This window comes from Homo sapiens, chromosome 8 (genome assembly GCF_000001405.40).
Source record: "Homo sapiens chromosome 8, GRCh38.p14 Primary Assembly".
NCBI classification, from domain to species: Eukaryota; Metazoa; Chordata; class Mammalia; order Primates; family Hominidae; genus Homo; species Homo sapiens.
In genome coordinates, this window is record NC_000008.11 from 70,169,666 (window position 1) to 70,196,684 (window position 27,019).

Here is a 27,019-nt window from a genome sequence, read left to right on the forward strand (position 1 = left end):
CCATCTCCATGATGTGACTATTTCACACTGCATGTCTGTATCAAAACACCTCATGTACCCCATAAATATATACACCTACTATGTATGCACAAAAATAAAAAATTAAAAAAAATACAACAATCTTAATGAAAATAGTTGCCATATAAGTACTTTCCATCTGAATCATTTTCATGAATCTGAATCAATTTCTGTTCATTTATCATGAGGTAATTACTGCCAAGCAAAATCATCATCATCATCATCATCATCATCATCATCACTTCTTGGCCTTTTGGCTAAGAAGCAATGATTTTCACGTACTTTAAATATAGGATCGAAAATGATCACTCATTTGAGATCAGTATCTGAAGATGCCCCCTTTTCCATGACTTTTAAGCTTAAACACACAAGCATCTGTAAAAAACTACCCAGTCACTCTCCTCCCCATCTGATATAATATAGTTTTATTTGATCCACTTCAACCAAGACACTGTGTGTATGAGGCAGGGCAGGTGGGGGTGACGGGAGGTAGGGAGGGAGACCCAGCAGACATTTACCTATAGACTTTGGCAGCAGGTTTTTGACAAATTCCGTGTGGTCCCCAACATGCAAGATGCTATATACACTTTTGTTCATCAGCTCTTCTTGGTTATACCTTAGATACTGTGTCACATTCTCTGACACAAACACAACGTTGCCTTCCAGGTTCACTACAAAGAAGAACCCATCAAGGGCCTAGGGAACAAAGTACAAATTGTGTTAGAAAGGATGCAACATAACATCACATGCAATTGTTAAGAAGGGAATGATCCCTTTCAAGGAAACACAATTCACACACAGATAGAAAAGAGATCTTTCTCAGCCCTCTCCCAGTTTTCAGGAACAATTAACACATTTTCTCTTGGTGAAATAGAAATTATTCCATCTTAGTAAGTGGGAGAGAGAGCCTAGACTAGGGTTTCTTGTCACAAACTAAACGACCAACACTAACTCCATTAATTTATCAGGAGATAATTACCGTGAAGTAAAAGTGTACAGACATTCATCTGTATTTTCAAAATGAGACTGACATACTCCACGGGGCCAAGAACAACTTTTATGTCATCAACCTAATGCAAGGTAATTTTGATCTATAGTTTGTCATGTTATACAATGAGAGAAAGGGGTCATAATTTTTCCCCAGTTTAAGGATAATTACCAGGAAAACCTTCCTGAATTTTACCACCTAGCTGTCACGGATTATATGAAAAACATCACAGATAATTTCAGACCTTTAAAGAAACATCAATCCTTTATTACTTGGTGTATATGGGAAAGGGTCTCGGAAGTGTCTCTGATGTGGCAAACTCACCTTCATGGGGACCTCAGCATTGCCCTGACCTTAGAAGGGCACTAATTATGTCAAATTATTCTATGTTACTTGTTCTCCAGATTAAGATGCAGGTTCCTAAATTACCCAAATAACAGTAGCACGCTTCCGGTAATGAGTTCACAGCCTCACTTTTTGTTGTCATCCCAACGGAGGTAAGGGAAGGAGATAAAGAATCTAGGATCATTTCAGGAAGTTGAGATAATAACAGTGGCTGTGGAGCATGTTCACTGTGCCTTACAAGTACCTCCTGGAAGGAATCTTTTATCTTTCCCAATTTACAGAGGAGGAAACTGAGGCTCAAAGAGGTTAAAGTCTCAGAACTAGTCAGTGGTAGTACAGCTTGAATGTGAATCCAGAAGGATCAGATTCCAAAGCTCATGCTTTGATGACCATTCAGTACAGTCCTCTACTCTAATATTCATTCACCCCTAATCCACTTCCCATCATGTTTACCTTGGTGATGGAAATGTTGGGGGTTTAGTTTCTCCTGGTTACATTACCCCATTTTTCTCTTTTTGACCCTTGCTTATCAAAGCTCTGTTTTATGGATCACGTGAGTGATCAGGACTGAAAGCTTTACATTGATTCATCATACCTGGGACCAGGGCCATGGGGTCTAGTCAGTTTCTTTGTGATATGTGTTTATTACAATTTTATCTTTTTTGGAGACAAGGTCTTGCTCTCCGCCCAGCCTGGAGTACAGTGGCACGATCATAGCTCACTGCAGCCTTGAACTCCTGGGCTCAAGCTATCCTCCCACCTCAGCCTCCTGAGTAGCTAGGATCACAGGTATGCACCACCACACCCAGATATTTTTTATTTTTTGAGACACAGTCTCACTCTGTTGCATAGGCTGGGGTGCAATGGCATGATCATGGCTCACTGCAGCCTTCACCTCCTGGGCCCAAGTGATCCTCCCACCTCAGCCTACCAAGTAGCTGGAACTACAGGCATGTACCATTACAAACTTGACTAATTTTTTTATTTTTGTAATGATGGGGTCTCCCTGTGTTGCCCAAGCTGGTCTTGAACTCCTGGGTCCAAGTGATCCTCCTTGTCTCAGCCTCACAAAGGGGTGAAATTACAGGCATGAGCCAGTGCGCCAGTCTTTTTAAATTTTCTGTAGAGAAAGGAACTCACTATGCTGCCCAGGCTGGTCTCAAACTCTCGGCCTCAAGTGATCCTCCCACCACTCTGTAATCCCAAAGTGCTGGGATTATAGGCATGAGCCACTATGCCCAGCAAGTTTATTACTATTTTTAACATGAATGTCACATGTATACACATACAACAATGAATTTGGTGGATGGGGCCTGAAGTGTTTACTTTTTCCCTAGTTTGTTTTTCCCTTATGTTATTAAACAGGCTCCTATTTTATGAGCTATCTTTGAATATATTTCATCTTTAATTCTATTTTAATCACAAAACTAAGTGCTCTCTCAAATTAGAACTGACCATAAGGCACCAGAGAAAGGTTCACCCATTTGGTTTTTAAGTTTTTCTTAAAACATTCTATCAGGTTTTCTCAATTGTATGAACCACATGCAGGACAAAGCAAGACTATATGTAAATAAATAGCCTTTCATAATACATGGTACTAACCTTGAGAACTGTGTGCAAGTGTGTGCACTCAGGAGGTTAGGTGATAAGTTACATGCCCAGTGTCCCTTTTCAACTCACTGCTTTGGATACACCCTTTGATAGGGATTTTCATAATCATATTACCTATGGTTCATTTTTAAAAGTACATGTTGCTTCCTACTGCTTATACCACAGTAAAAAGACTGACTTGAGGTATAATAAAACTGAAAGACGAAATTGTTTCCTCTCATAAAGCTGTGTTTTTTTTAAGGCTCACTATGATATGCTCTGATGAAAAAAGCTGACATTTGGTTTTGTTGCCTAGCAACCACTATGCTATGATGTAAGCATGAGTGTGCATCTATGCCTAGGAACAGCTCCATGAGAACATGTTCTCTCTGTTTAAGTGATTACACGTAAACAGGGACAAAAATTTAAATTCAAACCATAAGTCACCAGATTTAAGAATAACCTCTCTAACACATTTAACACTCAAGTCCTGCTACACAGGTTCTTGATCAATGCACTAAATTCTCAGAAGACTATTCTGAATGACAAAAATGTTGGTTTGATTTTATGACATCAGGTCTACTGACATCTAGCAATCTGATTTCTACAATTAATGAACTCAGTCTCAAAGGGCTTGAGTCCCAGCTCTGTTATTCCCAGCATTTCTATTTAGAAGTATCAAAAGTCTTCCCAGGAGTTGCCACTCTAATGTTCCCCCCACCCCAAGATACAATGAATAAACACATGTATAGGGAAATTTCCCAATTGTAATAATTTAGTTAACATAATTTTCAAATCAGTTTTTAATTTGTAATTCAAACATTTTCCAAAGGAAATTATCCAGTTTCTTTCATTTAATTCTAAATGGTCCACCTAGTTATAGTTTTCATAATCTGCTTCTAAGAACCCAGAGAGAAGTAGCACTCTCTGGCCTTCCATTGCCTTGTTGACTATGGAAAATTGGGTTAAGTGTGTTTTTGCTTTTCTCCTGGAAAGGGAGGCTGAATGTTTTCAAGCCAGTGATTCTAGAGGAGATAAGCAAGGGCCAACACTGGGACATTTAAAGCCTTTTGGCCAGCAGGTCCAGCCCCAGGAAATGAAGTTTGTCATTTCTAAATACAAAGACTGGGTCAGATGCTCTTGGAGTCTTTATTGTGTGCCCCCCCTCCGCCCTGCCCCCAATTTTATGGTAGATTTTCATAGAATTAGATTTTCTAAAAATAAAAATCCCTTTAAGCATCAACTGAAAAAAAAGAGATAAGGGGGACTATTGGTTATCTCTGTTTTAAAAATACTAATTATTGTCTGCTGCAGCAAGCTAGCTGATTCTACAATGGCAGTGCTGCAAAGCTTCTGGCCATGCAGTCTTTTCAACCTCATCGTATCATCAGCCGAGCAAATTATCCTGAGAACTGACATAATTTATGTCTCAGGGTTCCTCTGTTTCTTGTTATATATTCACTGACATTTTTTTTTCTCATCTTACCATAACCTACATCTTGAATTTTAATTTTGGAACAGGTACAGCAAAGCACTTGGCGTTTAGTACTAGTTAATAAAATAGAAAAACTGTACTTTACAAACTGTAGACATTAGCTGGTCATAAAGCTTCCTGAAGTTAATAAACAACAGGTAGTTAAGACCAACCTTATGCTTCTCTTAAAAGTTCCTTTTGCCTATTATTTCAGTTTTCTTCCTTATGAGATAAATAAGCTAGTTTCAAATAGCATAAATAGAAAGCATAAAGCTCCTCCTTGGTCCTCATATTTTAACCTGTATGTATAGGCATTTGTACATGGCATGTACAAAATTTAAGAATTTTGAGAACATTTCAAGCTAAAATACAACACAGAATTTAGTAGGACTTGTGAATACAGTTTCTCAAATAAATGCTCAACTGGCAATTACAACTTGTCAATGTCTACTCTAATCTAGTTAATTTAATTCTATGTTAATTTCAAACACACATATACTGGCAGCAGGAGCCAAAACATACATAGAGACACACAGGCATATCAGCAAGCTCAAGAGGTCCATAGTACTAGTACTAGTGTGGATTCTCCTTAAATTATATTCACCTGAAATTAAATGTAATAATGTGAAGATCAACAAGATTTTAAAATACAGCACTAAAATGAAGATGTGCTACCTCAAGCATCATAGGCCCCAGCGCATCCTTGTCGATGACACCCTGCCCTGTAGAGGATACATCTGACTTCTGCACTTCATCTATGTTGGCAGCTGCTGCTTTCTCTGCAATAAACATAAGTGTGAATTAAATGGCAGTGCTATTTCAAGGACAGAGTGACACAGAAATGTTTTTACTGTAATGATTTTTAAAAATCTCTAGTGGGATCAGATGCAGCTACAAAAGAGTTACAGTACATCCCTGTTGCCCCTAAATGGGAGAAACTGCTGGAAGCAGAAGCCAGAACATTAACTTTTCACCTCTAGAACCTGTGGCTTGGATCCACTTTCAGGCTGCCCAGAAAATGAATTTTGAGGTTTCATGACAGTCCCCAACAGGCATTTTTTTCTAGATTATGAAACTGCTATATTCTATGGCACAATTAATTTCTACTCAGGAGATTCCCCAAACTAGGATAAAGGAAGGTCTGTTGTTCAGAATTTGGTAGCATAATCACAGATAGATTTGCACACATTTGAAGAAGTAACAAGGACTCCTAAACTGCTATGGCTGCCCCCATGAGACATTCTGCAATGTCTGCCTGGACTCTTTTACTGTTCCACTTCTGCTTACATTCCCATTTAAAGTGGACAGGAAGATTTGGTCCCTGACTTGTTCAAAGTGCTTCTCCATCTAAGAGGTTAGAAGCACCCTACCAGGCACTTGGGGAATTTCAATGGCTGCCCTCTGATCTAGCAGAAAGGCGCGTAGCGTGCGCTCCTGGATGGAAACGTGCAAGGCAAATTTTAGGCTCATGAAGACAGGAAGGCCCCGGAAGACATTTCTTCATAGAATGAGAATGTTTTGTGAAAAAGCTCACAGAAGAAAAAGATGCACACTTATCAACGTATGTGGTAAAGTAGTTATTTCAAGAACACCAAAAAAAGTTTACAGCATAACACATACATATCAACAACTTGCTAGAAAACAACACAAAACAACGTGACAATTATTTGTACTTGAATAAATTATATCCTGTTTACACTGCATGTTATCGTTGTAATTAAACGTAGAAATAGAAAACTGTAAATCAATTTAGCACTCAGAATTAACCTGCTTTCAGAACCTTAATAATTTTTTTTTTTTTGTCAAAAATATTTTATACAGTATGTTGAAAATCTGTAAAGCCTAATTTATGGCTGAGAACCTAGAAAACAATTAGGAATGATGTGGGTCCTCCCAATCTTGCCATTCCCATGACAAAGCTTTCACAGAGGGGAGGATGACCTGTGCAGTTCAAGCTCAAACTCAGTCACTAAGAAGTATGACTTCAAGCAAGTTGCTTCAATTTACCTGTCTCCCGTATATCATGGACTGAGCCAAAGTAAATGGGATGGTATGTGAAACACTCTTTAAAAATACAAAGAAGTTTACAAATGTATCTTAATACTAGCATATCTGTATTGATTAGTTCTTCCTTGAGTTCCAAATGTAGTAATTTCTCTGCAGAGCTTATCATAAGCAGACTGTATCTGCTTTATCAACTCTCTAATATATTCCTGATTCACCTCTTTAGATCGAAAAAATTGTGACTGCCTATAAATAGAGATATGACTTGTCTGGTAGCCTTCATAACTCAATATTGGTGGATTTGTCAGTCCTTGCTTCATTTCTGGCTTTGCTGCCTTCCCAAGCTCCTCACTGCTGGGTCCTGTACATTTGTTCTGTCTGCAGGCTTGGTCTCATTCCAATTCCTCAGCCGGTCCCTTCTGAGGCGGCAAATACCTCAGGGTCTCCAGCCACAGGATTGGCTTGGCCAATTATTGCATGTGACCGCCCCCACCCCCTTTTACTGGAATCTTTTTCATTGCCAAATAGACTCACAGTAAAATAAATGTGCACTGGGGCATACTTTTTAATTTTTTTGGCAGTTCACTCTCTAAGAATGTTGATTTCTCCTCAAGATCTGCTCACTTTTCTACCCACCAGTACAGGAATAGGATTTGTACTGCTACCTGCTGCTTCATCTAATTTTCAAGGGCCATCTTGCTACAGTAGCTATGCTGGATTTTCCTTGAGCACCTCCATCCACACCACACTCTGTGGGGTCTTCTTGGATGTGGACAGGGTGTGTACCTCCCTTAACAGTCCTTGTTGTAGAGGCCCCAGTGTGCCTCAGACCTAAGGATCCCTATGTTTCATGAATACTAAATCTCAAGGCCCATATAAAACATGTCATAATTTATGTGGTCCTACTGCATTCTTACTTCTTTATTGTCTTCAGTGTTGCAGCAGTCCACATGCAGGAGCAATGTGCTGACATCCCACAGACTGACTGATCTGCAGCCTTTCCTTCGCCTAACTATTCACAGGGGTCGCATCAGGGGTCACATTCTCCCATCTTTCAGTAGCAGCAGTGATTCTCAAAATGCAATGGTAAACATGAGAAGACAACCTCCCTGGAGGGGGGTCTATCAGAATGTGCAGTGGGAACACACAGACAGCTTGAAAGGTCTGCTTTGCTGAGATTCTGATACATCTTCCTAGGAGGATATCCCCATTCTCCTGCCTCCTACAGTGTGACACACAGTCCACAAAAGAGTAGGCTACCCGACTTGAAGGTAAGCTTTTTGAACTGTGTCTGGATCCTCAATAGCACCGTCCCTATTTCAGACCAGGTTTTCACTGCATCTATGGGGGCTGACTGAAAGGCTAGACCCACCACCAGCACTTCCTCCCAGAAGCATGGGAGCAAGTGGGATCGAGGGTGTGTGGAAAGATAAAGTAATTTTCCCCTTTTGCCTCACAGGACCTCCAGGGTAGAGGAGGAAGATAGAATAGGTGGACAGGGTCAAGTAATATGGGAAAGGGTTTCCTAAAAACTGGTCTTAAATAACAATCTTATCTTGCTATAGTCAAGAAGTTTCAAGGCATCTCATATTCTCTCAGGATCCCAAGTCCTATTATTCTCTCAGGATCCAAGTCCTATTTTATTCTTTTTAAGAATGAATTTAATTTAGGTTAATGTTGCGGGAGAGAGTGAGAGGAAACAACAGCTGCCCAATCACAAAGGCAACCCTGTGCCTATCGCTGATCACTAGAAAACATCAGCCTATTTGGCACATGAGATTCTGATATCACAATAGTAATGAATTATTGTTTCCTATGGTATCTATACTAATGTTGCATTTTTGGGCAAAATAAATACAAAATAATGATGTTTGTGATAGTAACCCATTTCTAGGCCTTTTAAAGACAATAAGTAGGCCTTGTGAGATGTTTATATTATCAGGGTATGATAATCTTTCTGAGGATCTAAATTCAGCCATCGACATTCTGTGTGATACAAAAACCTTACACTTAGATAACTCAATCAGGCAGGTTCCTCAACACTGCTAAGTCTTCATGCCTGGGTATTCTAAATTCTAGCAATGTGCTCAGGCAAAGAATTTTAGACTTTTGTCAGAGGTTATGTAGAATCAGGATCAAATATGTACAGTATTTTATTTTTAGGAATTTATCAGATATAATTTGGGGTAAGGGCCTACAATTTAAATTGGGAGATGATTTGGATCTCACAAAACATGTGTTTGAGGAACAACTGGAGGAAAGCCTGGATAAAAATAATTATTACCCTGAAACATTACTTATAAATGCAAAACATGCTGTTTTATTCTTTAAAATAGTCAACTGATAAATATTTAAGAGGAAGAAAGCAGTAGCTAACACCAGTAATGGAGAATGAGTGGCCTATGTGAGCCCACATGAGGGAATGGAACAGTGACACTGGGATGGGCAGAGTAGCCTATGTCTGTGTGTCTGGTCTGTGGCCTGCACTGTCTGTGCAGGGGAAGCAAAGTGAAAAATCCTCGTCTGCCGAGGGCTCACCCTCTGTCCAGGAGGGCAAAAGTATACAACCCAACCAAATGAGCACAACATAGGGCTAAACAGCAAGCCCTCAGTTCAAAAAAAGGGATGGAAATGGCTGGACATAGCTGAAAGTATTTCACATTTGTTGTAACCGAATTGGATTCTGCAGGATATGCAAGTGGACAGCAAGAAAACAGGTGGAGACGGATGTGTGGCTGGCATCGGGCCACTACAAAATCTCAGCCTGGTTTGAAAGCCCATGGTAAGGAACACTGGCGAAACATTGATCTAAGCTGGAACTCTAGCAAACTCAGACAGAAAATAAAACAACAAAGTTGTTCACAAGATCAATCTAAACTTATATTAGTGGAAATTGTGATTTGAAAGAAAATTCCAAATGACTCTATAGGTTAATTGCAAGAGAAGCTTTAAAAAGTGTTGCAATATTTACACAAATGCTATTTATATATATTAAGAGAATGAGAAATTTTTATTCCTCATTAATAAAAGAAAAAAGGGTGAAGAATTCAGAGCTTACTCTTATTCTCACAAGAATGAAACATATGTATTTTCTAGCTAATTTGTCATCTATTCTTTAATTCTGTATTGAATTTGTGCTTTGACCATTTCTCAATATTAAAAAGAAAAAAATCAATAATATGAAGTGATAGAAAACACTCAGAAATATGGCTTTACCAATGTAATCGGAATCTAAATTAAAGTGGCCCTAAATTTATGTTATTTGGGTACTTTTCATGAAGTAATTACTACCTCTGTTGAATGTTCAGTTGAGCCTTGATATTATACCGGAGGAGGAAAAGAAGGGAGGAAGGGAGGAGGAAAAAGAAAAGGACTCTTTAGAGAGATACTATTATGTTAACCGGACATATACTGGTATCTTGACAGAGCATTTCAGTAATGAGTATGCTATTTTTATGTACCAGATATAAATAAGCTTAAATCCTTAGATATTTATACTTCTGTAAGTACAGCATTACTACACTAAAACACACTATTAAATATTTTTAAATAAGGCAGTTTTCTCAGCGGTCACAAACTATATTTACTTTTCTATCTTTTGCATCCATTAACCATAAAAATATATTCTGTTACAAAAATATCCTTCAGTAAACTCAACAGTAGAAAGCTCGTCTCAGAGTTTCATATGATCAAAACCTTATGAAATCTCATTATTACAGATGGAAATCTTTTTAAATCAGAGAAAGAGATGATAAAATCAAATTTTCAGAGACTACTAGAATATTTCTTCTAAGCCCTGACTTCATTATTTCTTCCTGCTACGCTTTTACCATTAAAGTTATTCTTTTTATTTTATTAAATTTTTGTTTTTGTTTTTGTAGAGACAGGGTTTCACTCTGTTGCCCAGGCTGGTCTTGAACTCCTGGGCTCAAGCAATCTTCTCGCCTTGGCCTCCCAAAGTGCTGGGATTACAGGCATGAACCACCATGCCCAATCCCCACAGTTTTTCTTTTTAGATAAAGACCACGACCTAAGAAAGTAACAATGAAAATACTAATTCTATCCTTGTCTTCCTCACTCACAAAAGACTTAAAGAAATCATAAAATATCTCTGATCTTTTTAGATCTGATCAGTAGGAAGTAGCTATGATCTTTTTAATAGCGCCCAGTTTTACAAATGCAAAACCTGATTGGAGAGATCATCCAAGGATGCCTCTATAATTTTTCTCTGACTCGCCTTTTCCTCCTGGGTGGCTGCTTGAACAGCAATCCCTCACAATCTCCTTCTCCATTTGCCCGCGCTCCAGAAATCCAACACCAATTAATTAGATTTCCACTTTCAAAGCGAAGAACAAAACCCCATCTCTTCAGGGACCATGTTAAGATGAGTCATACCACAAACTGGGGAAAAATCATTAATATTATATTCCATAGGTTTTTTTATAAGTAATTATTATTCGTGCTTTCTCTTAGAACAAAAGAAAAGGTGAACAGGGAAGAATCTGATCCTAGAAATATAAGTGATTTGAAAATACAAGGAAAAAATATTTATTTTTTGAAGCAGCTGTATTAAATTGCTCATTGGCATGTACAGGCATAAATCTGTTATTTATTTATTTGTTTATTTTTAGAGACAGCATCCCACTATGTCACCAGGCTGGAGTGCAGTGGCTATTCACAGGTGTGATCATCACACACTACAGCCTTGAACTCTTGGTCTTAAGCAATCCTCCTGACTCAGCCTCCTAAGTTGCTGAGATTATTGGCAAATGCCACCATGCTCAGCTCCATGCATAAACTGAAAGTAAAATTCCAGTCTTCTGGTGAGAACAATAAATTAGAAACTGATCCTAGCAAAAAATTTATTTTTAAAAAAGTACAATTAAACATTTTTAAATTATCAAGTGATGTTTTAAAAAAAGGCCTTTACATAATCTTCTGAAGTATCATTTATTAATTTTGGTAGCTTACTTAATCTCATAGTATTAGGTACTCTTAATCAATTTTTTATTAGGCAACTGAACTGAGATTACAAATTCAGAGAGTCTTTCCACAAAGCATTACCAGAACAGAGTTCTATCCCTTCACTGGGGTGGCAGTCATGCTCAAGGGACAGCCACGTAATTGTTCTAACTCCAGCAGCAGCAGTGGCAACCACTACTGATTACTTAGAAACCTAAATGCTATTAAATGTCTCCCATTATAGGGACAGGGTGACACTGTCATTATGGTAGAAGTTGATACTCTTGCTTTTTCCTTTTTTGGGGATCATCTGAAGAGGTTGTAGAAAACGCGCAGAAATTAGTCTATCTTCAAAAAGTCAGAATCCAAACAATGTCACTCACTCTGTAATAATGCATCTACTGAGAGATAATCCACAGGGTATGTACACATATATAGAGACATTTTAAGACTGCCCATGTTTACAGATCCCTGATGTGTAAAGACAATTAAGAATTTAGGTTATCTTTCTGTTTGGTCAAGCCTGAGGAGAGTTGTTTTTACAGAAGCTGTATTATTTAAATTAGATAGAATCTCTGACTAAAATGGAATCTGATACTTTGTGTAGGTTTTATAATTAATTCCTCTGCTTCAAAGTGAGTAAAATCACTCACCTAGAAATCTACGAATTTTTCAGTAGACTGACGTCAAACACAAGTCTAATTACCTCCACAACAAATTTGAAGATTCTAATGGGAAAACATCCACAATTTCTATGTTTTCCTGCATTAAGGAACTGGATGTTTCAGGTGAAGTGACTGTCAAACCCAGCAGCAGTGAGACCTACGCAGAGCAAAGAAGTCACTGAAACAATGATGGGCAGTTTCTGACCAAGCACTATAGATGAAATATTACAGGAAAAGTTATGTAGCATCTCCAAGGTTCTAGAAGGTAAAATGAGAGAATTATGCATCTGCACCCAACTAAAATTAGAAAAGCTGCCATATGGCTTTGTGAAGCCAGCAGCACATTCTTATTCATTAGGAAGCATTCTGCTAACATAAAAACACAAGGCCCTTCCTGTGCTCTCCAAATGTGTTTATCTTTTCAACATTAATGCACTATATATCATCAAGCTGCTGAAGTCTCCTGCCGTGCATATTAAAAGCGCGCAGCTGCACTTTCTTTAGTAGTGGGAGGAACCTAAGCCGCAAGTTGCCTCCCTCTTTTTCTGACATTGAGCTTCTTAACATCATGATTTCCCTTCAGCATGAAGAAATAGCAAAATTAACCAATCTGAAGGCCATCTCCACCCAGCAAAACCCTCTTACTCTCTGCTTTAGAGAAAGCAACATATTTGGCTTCATTTTCATCAATGGTATAAGGCATGACTACTTAAGTAGAAACAAAAATCATGTCTCAAGTTTGAAATACACAGGCCTACTTTTAAAATTAATGTACTACAGTTACCAAGAGAAAGGACAGCAACCAGAATAGACTTTGAGTATTAGACAGAATATTTAGGCTTTGAGTATAGACAGAATAGACTTTAATAGAAAATGCTTTTGTTCATGGGAATTCACTATCATTCCCTCTGCTATTGCCCATACATATTACTATGTAATAGCCCACTTCATATAGTACCTATCAGTATTGAATTTACTGAAAGGTAAAATGGGCAGTGGAAAATCTTTCATGATAAGCCATGTCAGTGAATAACAATTTGTCCAAAATCTTCCTTTTATATAATCCAAATTCCTGCACCTCACAGTTCATGTCCTATAGGAGCTTAAATTTAAAGATCAACTGCAGAAGAAAAAAAATACTTAGGCACACAATAAACAATGTAGACACTGAAAGAACCCATGGAAACATGGCTTCAGAAGTGCTTCAAGTTAGTGAACTGAAAGCCAACAAGTATTAAATATTATACATATTACTACATTTATTATGGCAGCATTCATTCATTCCCTGATATGATAATGGTGCATCTCTATTTGTATCTTCCACAGCAATGGAGTACTGAGAGGTGAAGGCAAAATAAAATATAAAAACTGCTATTTCAGAGTAAATTCTAATTTATTGGGCTCCACTCACTAAAGTTTTGGAAGTTACCTGAACAAGGAAATAAAGGAATCATAATTTGCTTAGAAAGTTGAAAGGTGAAATTGAGATTAGATGAAAGAAGGAAAAAAAATCAATGGGTGTGAAAGAAATGAGAAGTGAGGTGAGGCTCGAAGTCATCACTTATTCAGAAGATTATGAGTAAGCCTGTCAAAAGACCAAATTATAAAAAAGTTCTATTTCTTCCAAATATGAATGTCAACTCAAAAGCAAGGCCAACAAAGTTACACTGTAGGAGTACTTAATAAAGTTTCTGATAAATAGCTTAAAATATGAAAATTATATTTAAAAAGTTGTTTATAAAATTCTAAGACTTTGGTCTTAGTTGTGCAACTTTTAAAATCTCCTAAATCACAATTCTGTTTATTAGCGCAGTAAACCTCATCTCCCATTATTCCTAGCTTATACACCATAGCAATATTTAGTATCTGTCTCCCCCCAAATGCATCACATTCTTTCAAGATTTTGAGCATTCTCTCAGATTGTTCCATTGGCACAGATGCCCTTCCACCCCTTCTCTTGGAAGATGCCACCACAGCTCCAGAAAGCTCATGTCAACGAAGTTAGGCCCCTGCCGCCGTGCTTCTGTGATGCCCTATGCCCATCCCCATCTTAACATTCCCCTCACCATTTTGAAATGATCTATTTTCATGTCTGTCCCTTTTCACTACATTGCTGGCTCCTTGGCTGTAAGAAATGACTTTTTATTTGCTGCCTGGCACATAGTGGGCGCTCAATGATGTTGTGTTAATACTGAACACAGTATTCACAGCTGTGAATACAGTTTCACAGCTGGAGCTAAAATTAAATTCCATTTAGCCAGGGCTGAAATATCACAAATGTCTCTTCAGAGGTATCTGTTTGGAAGAGCTTTACCATATACCTAACATAGTGGAGGTTCATTTTAAGACTCTGATTTTTTATTTTTGGAGTCAAAGTATTAGGTAGAGATGGGATGAGAAAAAAGGTCAGACCGTATTTGCTAAGGGCATCAAGAATAATAGCTCAGGTGGTCAGGCCAATGAGAAGAGGATTTGGAAGAAAAGTCACCAAGGCTTTCTCTACACCTGAGCCACGAAGTTTAAAAACCCCAACCAGCCTACTTTACTAGTCCAGATTCTCATCTAGGAAGTTACAACCTACTTTACAAAAAAAGTGATCTGGGTAACACAGACATTTTTTTCAGTCCTTGGGATTTTCCCAGCCACTCACAGCTCTTAAGAAAATAAACCTACCCAAGTGGAGGTTGTACAAATTGTCACATTTGCCTGGGGAGCCAGGATAAAAGAGCACTTCATCAGGTTTCTTGTCCCTCCCACGCAGAGTGCTGCGAGAAGCCTTGGATTCTAAGGATAAGGTTAACAGCTGATAGAGGAAAGCCACCTATAAAGCAGCGCTTTATAGGTGGCTTTATAAAGTGGGATTGGCCGAAGGGCTAAAATCCCTGGAGAGGCTGCCAAGGTTCTTCCTGTCTTATTCAACTTTGAATATCCAATGACTAAAATAAAGCTGAACGCCCTAAAGATGGCCAATAAACGTGTAGAGAAAGACAGAGGGAAGGATGAAGGAAAGGAAGGGGGGCTGGTTACTTTGTGCTGTCTCTTCTTTCTGGCTCTGCCACCAACCCTCATTTCTATGAAGCTTGCAAGGCTTCACACCCAGGCCGCTGCTTCACCTTAATGGTGGCTATCTGGAGGGGTGTCTCTCAAGGCTTCGAAAGGACTGAAAACCATCCTAGTACCTGACCTTCATTTGTCTTCTGGGGCCATATCTTCCATGCCTAGGAATCCTCCCTGCTCCTCACTTCCTTTTCACTGACATCTTGCTCCCCAATGCATTTTGTTCCACTTCTCAGACCTGCTTGCATTTCTCTCCTTGTGTTTTTCTCCCATCTGGTTATCTTTTCCTTCCAGTTTCTCTCTACAGACACAGGATCTGATGTCATTCTAAAGAGACTGCTACAACTCATCATATGTAGACTCTTCTCCTTTCCCCTACTGTGATTCTAACAATATCATAGGGAGGTTGAAATTCCCGGTTTCATTTTGCTTACTACCGTCTATTCCCAGTTCTCTCATTCTAGCATTTGCTTGAGCAATCATGGGAGGACCTCACCAGTGTGGTTTTTCAAAAAGCAGGTGTTCCTAATTTAAAGTACCTAATGCAAAAAGCTGATAATAGAACACAGAATCATCCAATTTAGAGCCTAAAACATTATGCTAAATCATATCATTGTAGCAGAGAAAGCAAAGCAGTGTTAACAATGGGAGAACTCTGCATAAATATACGCAGCACCATGGCTCTGGCCAAGCAATGAAGGCACAGGGAGAATGGGGCTGAGAGGACAGCAGACTCCAGGGAGCAAAACAAGAAAGACCATGAGAACAAAGGAAGTAACTGTAAGGCGAGTGCAGGCTGCTTGTGGCCAGGGCGCAAGCTCTCTGTGGACAGGGTCATGGGGCACGTGGTGGGGTGGCGTGGAGGTGGAACAACTCCAGAGGCAGGCTCCAGAAAAGTTTACAATCTGACACCACTCAAATCTCCCACAGGCAAAGATCTCTAGTAGCCAAGAATTTGCTTCAGTCAAATCAACTCTCTGGAAAGCTGACTGCTAAGACAAAAACTAGGTAATTTCTAAGTGAACATTTAGGGAGGAAAATAAGTGGGTATATGAGAATAGGTCTGTCTAGTCTCAAGTATTTTTTTGGCAATTTGAGCAGTTACTACAGGCAGAGTTTACCATTTCTTGTGATTCTCCAACTGCCATTATTTGTTGTGTCATTAGTCCTTCTCTACATGTATGTTTATTTTCTACCTGGTTCACAGGATTTTTTTTTTTAACCTATTAGAAACTACGTATAGGAATGCGGCCACCTAACAATGAAAACGCACATACAAATAATAAACCTAAATACATACACACTCTCTCACTCTCTCTCTCTCTTTCTCCAGAGAAACCCATCTTGGGGAAAGGAGCCCAGATTTATCCTCCAGGATGTCAAGAAAGGATGGTGTAAAAAGTTTATAATCCTGGGTCTCAGTTCACAACCCAGGGACTTTCTAACCATTAGAAGGTCTATGTTCTTCCTAACAGAACTTCTGTGGGGAAAACTACATAAAGAATAATATTTATATCATATAGAAACAGATTCTGTTCAAATGCTTGAAACAGCTTAATTTTGAATTCACATTTTTACATACAAAGTGTATGTCCTCCCTCCTCACTTTCCTCCCCTGACCAGCTAATCTCAGAATGGTCCCAGTCCTTATGAACTCGGCACTACCAAGGCCCCTCAGATCAGGGCTGACTGCAGAGGGCAAGGTGCTGCGAGGGACAAAGCTGTTATGAAGTATTCATCTTCTGCACTAAGATCATCAGGGCCCTCTTCCAGAAGAGAGCTGTTACCTGGGACAGGTAAATTCTGCGAAGTAAAGTCTGGTAAAATAAAGGACCTGATTTGTTCTGAAGATCAAAAATATGCTACTACAAAATTTTTAAAAGCAAGGTTTGCATATGTAACAAATAAACCTGATATGTATTTACAGACAAATTTACAGTATGTCTTATTGTGTAACATGCTCACTGTATTGAGAGTAAGAGATCAGGTAAAACAGTAGGTGAGAAGAAAGACTAGGAAGCATTTGGAAAATAATTCCAAAGTAGATCTTCCTAATTTGTAAAAATGTGAATTTTCTTTATTAACATCTTCATTAACACCTAAATTCAAAGGACATTCTAGAAAAAGAGGTCCTGTCAAATATCCATTCAATAATTACTGCATTTCATAATGACAACAGGAAGAGCTTTAAATACATCTTTAAAATGACCCTTTAAATACCTTACAGCATAAATTCTCTCCAATTTAAGCAGGCATGGCAGTGAATCATCAACCAACCTTCCACAACTATTTAAAGCAGTAGGCAATTAAAAAGAATACAAGGACTGGCATCACTCAGAAATTGACATGCCTCAACCAGGCAGCAGGAGAAGCAGTGAGGGCCTTAGAAATGGCTGGCACTTCCATGCTGCAAAGCCCAGCACAAGTGTGAAAGAGAGGTGGTTACAATTTGCATGCTGAGGTCAAAGTGACATTAACAAAGGCCAACCAACATTTACAATGTTTCCTAAATTTGGTATCCAGACTAACCTTTCTATAACCAAATCCTCTCCTTTTCTTATTTTATTTAATTCTGCAGCAAATTTTGTAACCTGAGGGGAAAAAATGGTAATATCCTCAGTAATTTAGTAATTCCCTGAGATTTTATATCGGTTACGTGCTCTCAAATACAAGGACTGTTTAAGCAATCAAATCCACTTGCAAGAAATCAGAACAAATGTCTATTTAAAGTCTAACAATTTTCCAGTAGATGTTATGGAAAAGTTTGAGCCACAACAGACAGATATACAGACTGTGAGCACCATGGCTATGGATGGATAAGTCAAAAACGAAAAACTCTCAGAAAATTAATTATGATCATCCATATAGGCCATAGAACATATCACAATTCAGTATCTAATTATAAATATGAAAAAGACATGGTAATTAAGTTACTCCCTATCAAATTAACTGGTTTAAATTACCTTAAAATTAGTTTTGTTTTACATATATTAACCACAAGAGATGCTTCCCCACCATTCTACAACCATTCAAATAATGAAATAAAATAAAATCCTCATAAAATTTCTTCTTCTTTCAATTTAATTATCCTACATAAGCTTCTAGATGCTAACTAATTTAGTAATACACTATCATAAGACTTCAGAAAAGTTCTACCCAATGGCATTTTTCCCCCAGTGGCAGTTTGAAACAATAAGCTTAGCTTCAATGCAGATGCATGGGTTGAATCCAAGAAACCTGTTTTTGGAAATCCTGCCTGCCAGGTGATGGCTTACAGGTGAGGCTGAAGATGACTGATGTGACAGCTGGGCAGGTCCAGTTTTCAGAGCCATAGCAAGAACAGAAGGTAGCCTTTTTTTTGTAGACTGATAGCCTGGACACGAGGATGATGGTGTACTCATTTCATATGTAATTCACCTGCTTCTCAAATAAACTGAATACTGTCTTAGATTTGCTTTTTCAAAAACGCATTGTGTGTTGTTTTTAAATTACATCAACGGACAGTGGGCTTCCCAGAGAATGGAATGGTGGCAGTTTGTCAGCTCTGTATTGCCAAGGAAAATATTTGGCTGCATATAGGGTTTCCTGAGAGCAAGTTAGTACACGACCTCAATCTTTTCCAAGCTTATCATAATGCCGTAAGGCTATGCTGATTCAGCAAAGCAATAAATAATCACTTGCAAAATGCCCTGCTTCACAGGGATGTTATGAGACTTAATAAAATAATGCATGTGAAGCACTCTGAGCTCTACAGAAGAAAGGCAGGAAGTAATAATATTATTCTGCATTTATAATGACAAGCAGTCTTACAATGGCAAAAATCTAATAGACCTGTTCACAAATTACAAATAAAAACTAGCTTAAATAATTTAATTGTACAACAAAAAAAACCTGAAATCATTTCAGTCTGAAAAGTGGAATGAACAGACTTCATAAGGCTAAGTCAAAATGAAAAGAAATAGACAAGTTTCTACTAAACAGAAAGATTATATTGCTTTGTGAGAGAATAGAAATGGAATCAGAAACTTACAAGAAAGAAAAGTATATTTTATTAAAATTATTTTGTGACATTGCTGTTATGAATTAAATTTAGTTATATTTCTATGGCTTTCTTACTAATAAATTTTAAATCAAAGTCAGTATTAACAGTAATAAAATTTCTTCAGTTATCAATGATAAAACTGATTTAACTCTCAGTAGAATAAAACATGAATACTATACCAAATGTACATTGTTTCTTTTTAACAAATTAAAATAATGCTGGATTTTCTTTCTCTTCTTTTCTTTCTTTCTTCCTTTTTTGCCAACAGCATTTGTCTTATGGATGGGAAATGCCTATTTCTTTTTCCTCCGGACACGCCCAGCCAAAGGAACACGATGCATTAAATTCCACTTCATTTGGGGTGTCTCTCTACCAGAGCTGGCCAGGTTGAAGTGGCATTGCTAGGCTCTTAGGTGCCACTGAATTTACTGGATAGTGACGGGCCTTCTTGGTTCAGCAGATGCCATTTTCTCAAGGAAATCTCAGAATTTCAGGGGATCCAAGCTGTTTACCCTCTGTGCTTCCACAACATGTCCATAATATCATTTACTGTATCATATAAATCGTCTTATTTGATCTAGATCTCAGAACTCCCTCAAGATTGTCCAGTCTCTGAGCCAGAAATTCCATTTTTCATCTGTGTATCTCTATTCACCATGCAACTGCTGACCCATGTAGACACCATGTAGACCCAAGTGACCCACACTCTGGAGAAAACACTGTTTCCCTCAAGTGGGCTGAACAGGCTGTACAGCAGCAACTTCAAGCACATGGGACGAGGAATTTTACTCTCTAATTTTCATTTGTAATTTTGTTTTAGAGAAGTAGTAGTTTATGTTTTCTTTTTTAAAAATACATGATATTAGATGGTGGAAATGCAAAGATGAAAAAGACAAGCTCTGCCTCTTATAGGGTTTAGGGTGCACTGCCACGGTTAAGCCAAGTGCTGAAATGGGGTTAGTGGATTATCGTGATTAAAGTGTTAGGGATTTATGAACAAAAGAAAAATTAAATTTGAAATTTGTGAATTCATAAGTATTAAAAAGGTTTTTCTTTATTTAGCTAGAAGACTCCACTTGTTTGGAGAGTATAGGAAACAGCATTGATCTGGATGCTGAATAAAGAAAGACTCTAATTATCTAAGATTTTCACTAAGAATGCTTTCATCAGAGAATGAACATAGCAAAGCTGATTACTTAACTCAAAATAAACTTCCATCAACACACCAGGAACAATACATACACCTCAGGATGCTAACAGGGCCTAATTAGTTCTCTGAAGTATAACAGCTCAAAAAAATTTTTGGAAAATAAAAATGTGAAGATTAATAATCTCTTATATTATCCTCTCAGGATAAATCCAATTGCCAAGGAAATTAGACTTACAAATCTCAAAAATTCAGGCTAAGAACATACCCTGCAGGAATAAAAAGAAATCTGTTAATTTTTCAAAACTAAACCCAGTTAAGTGGTAGACTTAGAGAAAAACCTACAATCATGGAACTACAAAAGCATCTATACAAAGAGGAGTTATACTATCTGTCCTTTCTAAAGAAACTATGAGTCACTAAGTCAGGAATGGAACTAAATAAAACTCATTGGTGTTTAGATCTTTGCTCTCACGTATCCGAATATGGATTGGGAGCTCAATTAAAACCTTGATTTCCAAAAACAGAGAGGGTTTAGTAGAGTATATGAAAGTACCTCAGGGGCTCTTCAGACGAATTACTATAATAAACTATTTATAAGAAGGAAAGTAAGGCCTGGTGTGATGGCTCATGCCTGTAATTCCAGAACTTTGGGAGGCTGAGGCGGGTGGATCCCCTGAGGTCAGGAGTTCGAGACCAGCCTGGCCAACATGGCAAAACCCTGTCTCTACTAAAAATACAAAAAAAATTTAGCTGGGCGTGGTGGTAGACGTCTGTAATCCCAGCTACTTGGGAGGGTGAAGCAGGAGAATTACTTGAACCCAGGAGGCAGAGGTTGCAGTAAGCTGAGATCACCTGGGCGATGGAGTGAGACTCTGTCTCCAAAAAAAAAGTAAAGTAAAAGAAAGTTGGAAGAAGATGAACTTCAAATGACTACATTATAAATGAGAAAAATCAGGGGAATGGGAGTCTAAAAATCAAGGATCATTTGTGGAGGATACTTTGGTAAGGGAGCTAAAAGCAGTGGACCTAACAGCAAGAAAACTAATTGAGAAGCTGGTAGGTACATGACTTTGACACAAGAATATCTGATACTGCAGGTCTTTACAAACACTGATACCAGGTCCATAAACTTTCAGCTTCATCATGAATGACTTCTCCCACTCTCACTCCAAGGGTCATTTCAAAAAAAGTTAAATTGTTCATCATTTGTGTGCTTTAAAAAAATATGAAAATAGCCTTATTGTGTCCTATAGGCAAGGAATGGGCAGAGAGTATATTCTTACAATTCTGAGTGACTACTATAATGAATAGACAGAAATCAAAGATAAAACTTCTATCAATTTGAAGCCACTGAAGTAGTAAACAAAAACTCAAATGTCCACCTGGTTAGCCAGGTAATGTACAATCACTTCAGTACTGAAATAATGCCAGTCAAAAGACAGACAGGGTGGATTTCTATCCACTCCTCAAGCTGCACACATAGCCTCACCCACATTTCCTAGTCCCCCCACTTAGAATATCCTCTGGCATAGGGAGCTCCTAGAAAATTAGACTGAGTTTTCCTCTGAAGAGATGAACCTTACATTAATTCTTCATGTAATAAAAGACTCATCATTTACCTATACAGTGGCCTTTGTCTCTAAGAAAAGGAGGAAGAGAGAGGGAGGAAGAGAGAGGGAGGGAGAGGGAGAAAGAGACATACACAAATGGGATATGTTTTTATAGAAGTGAGAGAGACCCATGAGAATCTCCTGTGAGATTAAAAGAGATAAACTGAGGGGTTTCTAAAGACTGAAAAGGCCAGGGACGGTGGCTCATGCCTGTAATCCCAGAACTTTGGGAGGCCGAAGTGGGTGGATCACCTGAGCTCAGGAGTTTGAGACCAGCCTGGCCAACATGGCGAAACCCCATCTCTACTAAAAATACAAAAATTAGCTGGCCATGGTGGAAGGCGCCTGTAATCCCAGTTACTTGGGGAGGCTGAGGCAGGAGAACCGCTTGAACCTGGGAGGCAGAGGCTGCAGTGAGCTGAGATCGTGCCACTGCACTCCAGCCTGGGCGAGAGAGTGAGAATCCGTCTCAAAAAACAAAAATAAAAATAAAAACAAAAAATAAAAGACTGAAGACAACATGGGAGAGTTGAAACCAAGCTTTACATGTATTTCAAAGAATACATTTCCAATTGTATCTGTACGTGGAATACCATTTAGTAGGAGTTTTTAAGATTTGCTGAAAGTTTGTGACTTTTCCCTTATTTTACTTTGTTATTACAGTAACAATCCTTACTCCCCAAAGAGTTGAGCATTTGCTTCAGGGACAACTGTACATAAAAACCTGAATTTTGTGCTACAGCGGACCAGAGGAGGGGAAAAAAAAGAAATAAACTGATGGCTAGAGGAAGACAGCAGAATGGGAAGCAGGTGACTTATAAAGTAAAGGAAGGAACTTTGCCAGAGTCTTAGAAGAGTTACTGTGCTAGCCTGAGCCCTTAGTAGCTCCTGGCTTCCAGCCTGTGCATACACCTGTGACTGGACAACCCCACCACCCACGGGCCTGCCCCTCTGCTCCTAAGAGTCTTGCCTGGTATTTCATGGCAGTGGAGGCCTGCAAAGGGAGGAGCCAGGACACTACCAGGGCAGAAAGGAAGGAAGAGGCAACCATGCTCCAGGCTTCTCTGGAAATCCAGAACAGATCTTCCCAGGAAATATATGGATGTGTTGATCAATTAGCCTCTATAGTATCCCTCCTTGTAATAAACATTGGGTCAGTGGTTCCCACCTTTTGGGGTAAGAGGGCTCTTTTTAACATCAATAAAAATGGAGACCTGGCCAAGAACGGTGGCTCATGCCTGTAATCCCAGCACTTTGGGAGGCGGAGGCGGGCAGATCACGAGCTCAGGAGTTCGAGACCAGCCTGACCAACATGGTGAAAACTCATCACTACTAAAAATACGAAAATTAGCCGGGCATGGTGGCGCATGTCTGTAATCCCAGCTACTCAGGAGGCTGAGGCAGGAGAATTGCTTGAACCTGGGAGGCAGAGGTTGCAGTGAGCCGAGATTGCACCACTGCACTCCAGCCTGGGCGACAGAGCGAGACTCTATTAAAAAAAAAAAAAAAAAAAAAAATGGAGACCCATAGGACAATATCATACTTGAAAATGATATATAACATGAAGAACAGGTTACAGTAAGTTCAGTAATGCTTCTAAAAGAACTATCTATCATTACACCATCAGAGCTATATGCACCACATAGATTAAGAACTTCTCTCGTTAGATGCAATATTGATAACAATAGGCCTTATGGAGCTGGTCCAATAATCTAATCACCAAAATTTGCATTGGTTTGATAGAAAATACCCTCCATTCTGAACAATTAACTTATAGTTAAATCTCAGAAAAAGAAAAGGTTTAAAGGTTAAAAGGTCTCTTTCTTTCTTAAGAAAGCATGGAAGTGAGGGAAAAAAAAGACTCCCAAATGCAATCACACAAGGTATATACTTCCATATTATCTAAGAGACAAAAATATGTAACAACTTCTGATCTTTGACAATTCAGCTATCTAACAATATTCCAAATAAAATGTACTATGTGTAATTTTTTCCCCTCATCTGACATAAAGGATCTACAAATTGAAGATGGTCTACCAGAGGAAAAAAGCTTTTAAGAAGTTGAGTTTAATCATGTCAATCCCAAAAGAGCTTGCTTCTTTTCCTCTTCTGTTTCCTCCCATCAGATGTAACAAAATGAATACACCACTTGGAATCTTACAGAATGGTGGTATGCGCATGCCCATCTAATGTAGACAGGCTTAAATAAGAAATCACCACTGCTCTGAGAACCACTTCGGGCCTAAAGAAATAGAGGATACAGGCTCCCCAAAACGACCTCAGAGTTCTGTAATGTTTGCTATCTGGTGTTAACTGGCAGTGGAAAGGCATCTCAGTGATGAATGTACGGGAAGCAGCACCACGCTGATATTGGCATTATTTATTTTACTCTTCTTCCTCAGACAAAATTTCTTATTTCCAAAAAAGACAGCTCCAACTGGACTCTAAATCTATTACAGATATCAAGGTTCTAACACTGGAAGAGCAGAATCCAAGTCCGTTTTAAATGAACAACTTTTCTCTGCTGTGTATTTTTTCTATGTGACTATGTTGAATTGGGGTTTCCTTTTGTACAAAACAACAGAAATGAGAAACATAGGCAAAGATGCAATTTCATATCTAAAATTTTAAGTGTAAATATTTGAAATCTAATAAATTCATTTTCTAGGTGGAAGTTCAGATTTTACATTCTTTTCCAGAACACAAGTTAAAACACACTGCATACGGTCTTGTATATAGCTAAGCACTCTTGGCCCTCAGATTACATTCCTTCATTTTTGATCAATGATGTAATGAATACTGGGGTGGTCACAGTGACTATCTGCAAAGTCTGTTTTGCTCCCAACATACTTCCCAAAATGGGAGAGAACACCTTAACAAGGCCAGTGTTGTTTATCTAGAGGTTACATCGCACAAGTGAAGATGGACAGATCTTATGATGGACAACAGAACATTCACTCTGACAGAAAAATTCCTCATCTGCTCACATAGGGGTACAAAATGAATGTTCTAAAACAAGCCTGGTATCCAATATTCTGGCTAAATACCAAGAAGTCTTTTTTGGTCTAGAGAGCAACTTTCTGTTTTTCTGGGCTCTTTTATCTTCTTTTTTTTTTTTTTTTTTTTTCCTGACAGGAAAAGCTGACCTGCCTTGAAAGTGTGCATCATCTTCTGAAATAGGGATCTGCAAAAAATATTCTTCCTAGTAAACTAAAACTCGGTGTCTCTGTGTTTCAAATAACAGCTGATACCATGCTTACCCAATTGACTCCTAACAACCTTCTTCCAAATGGCAGACAAAGCCAAGAGTAAACAGCTGGGTAACAGGTTTAATTGTCTTTCCACTTCACTGGGAGACAGTGGATGTGGAGCTAGGTAGAGATCTAGACTTCAATGCTAGTCCTACCACTTATTAGCTGTGTGACTCTAGAGAAGTCTGGAGTCTAGACCCAAACCTAGGTTCTTCTTCTGTAAAATGGAGATAATAACTCAACTTACCTACAGGGAGTGTTGCAAGGCTGAAATGAGATGACGTATGAAAGAGCAGTGCCTGGCACCAAGTCAGCACTCTGTATGTGTGAATTCTCATTTCACTGTAGTAGCTGACCCTTTTGCTTTTGACAGAGTATATGTGACAGACTTTGCTAGTACATAAGGATGGATCTGCATTTTGTAGGGCCTGGAGCTTAATTACAGGGAAGGGTGTCTCTTTAAGAGTAAAAAATTGAGTATAAAAGTGAATATTTACATAGAATGAGAAAAGAGCTGTAAACACTAGAGTGATGAACAAGATTCAAATTTCTTCTTCTGAGAACTCTGTAGATAATAATCTGAAATGCTTCTGAAGAAGTGCTTCCTGATTGAAACGTGGGGTCCTATCTAGAACACTCTATAGCTCCTGGCACATATAGGACCCATACAAGTAAGGGGTCCTGAAGCTTAAGCTTTGTCAGCCTAGAGGGAATTCTGCCTCTGAAAATGTACAATATAAAATTTTCACTTAATTATTTTTATGTCATTCATCTGGCTTTTGGCTTGTAATATTAATTACATCTTATGTTCTATATTTTATCTTTACAAGCAGATTGTTAGACCAAAGTTCTTGATATTTACAAGTCCCTTAAATATAAATGGTCATACAGGAATCACTGTTTCATCTGATGATCCCCGGTGGCTACAGAAATCCCACGTTCCATTGCATCCTGCTACACCGCTTACAACTTTCTTCCCAATAGCTGCTTCACCACATTCCTTTAAGAGACCAATTCATTCCCACCCCAAACACCGTGTGGTCACATCTTCTTGTGCTCCACACCACGCCAAACTACAGCCACCTGTGAGAAGAGTGGCCCAGAAGGAACAGCATTATAGGGGACATCATTCATTGAACCCCATATTTTATGTTCCTTTTAAGACAACAGAAAGGCATGAGTGCTCTGAATACAGAGCAGCAGTATTCAGATAGTGTTCATGGCCATGAGGAATTCTCGCATCTGGAGGAGGAAGAAGAATAATAACCTTTCCTGGCTGGGCACGGTGGCTCACGCCTGTAATCCCAGCATGTTGGGAGGCCAAGGCAGGCAGATCACGAGGTCAGGAGTTCGAGACCAGCCTGGACAACATGGTGAAACCCCGTCTCCACTAAAGATACAAAAATTAGCTGGGCATAGTGGTGCACGTCTGTAATCTCAGCTACTTGGGAGGCTGAGGCACGAGAATCACTTGAACCTGGGAGGCGGAGGTTGCAGTGAGCTGAGATCACACCATTGCACTCCAGCCTGGGCAACAGGGCTAGACTGTGTCTCAAAAAAATAAAAATAAAAATAAAAAATAACCTTTCCTTTTTTCTCTTCACCTATGATGGATATACATCGGCGATGAAAGCCTGGTTAGAAATGCTTAGATGTGCAGAACATACAGGACCCTGGATTAGAGACAGTTATGACCTAAAGGTGCTGTTTGCTATAGTGCTTCCTTAACCTATAATGCCTCAGAGGCCTTGACTACAGCCTACATAAGATTTAAGGTTTTTAATGAAACCACATCTAACTCAAATTATCAAAATCTCTTTTCTGAACAATATGTGTTAAAACTACCTCTAAAAAACTATCTCT

At 38.7% G+C, this 27,019-nt stretch overlaps 1 protein-coding gene across 49 annotated transcripts in view; it reads right to left on the bottom strand.

The window, feature by feature from the left end:
* The window catches only part of NCOA2 (nuclear receptor coactivator 2), a 346,665-nt gene that overhangs the window by 59,884 nt on the left and 259,762 nt on the right, over positions 1-27,019 (bottom strand). For 47 of the 49 annotated variants that reach the window (XM_047421240.1, XM_047421258.1, XM_047421256.1 and 44 more), the window contains 2 exons: positions 5,091-5,194; positions 537-714 (listed from right to left, as the gene is read on the bottom strand). In XM_047421240.1, coding sequence (XP_047277196.1) covers positions 537-714; positions 5,091-5,194 — 282 coding nt within the window. The remainder of the gene's footprint in view (positions 1-536; positions 715-5,090; positions 5,195-27,019) is intronic. The other 2 variants (NM_001321713.2, XM_017012972.3) reach the window with 1 other exon arrangement.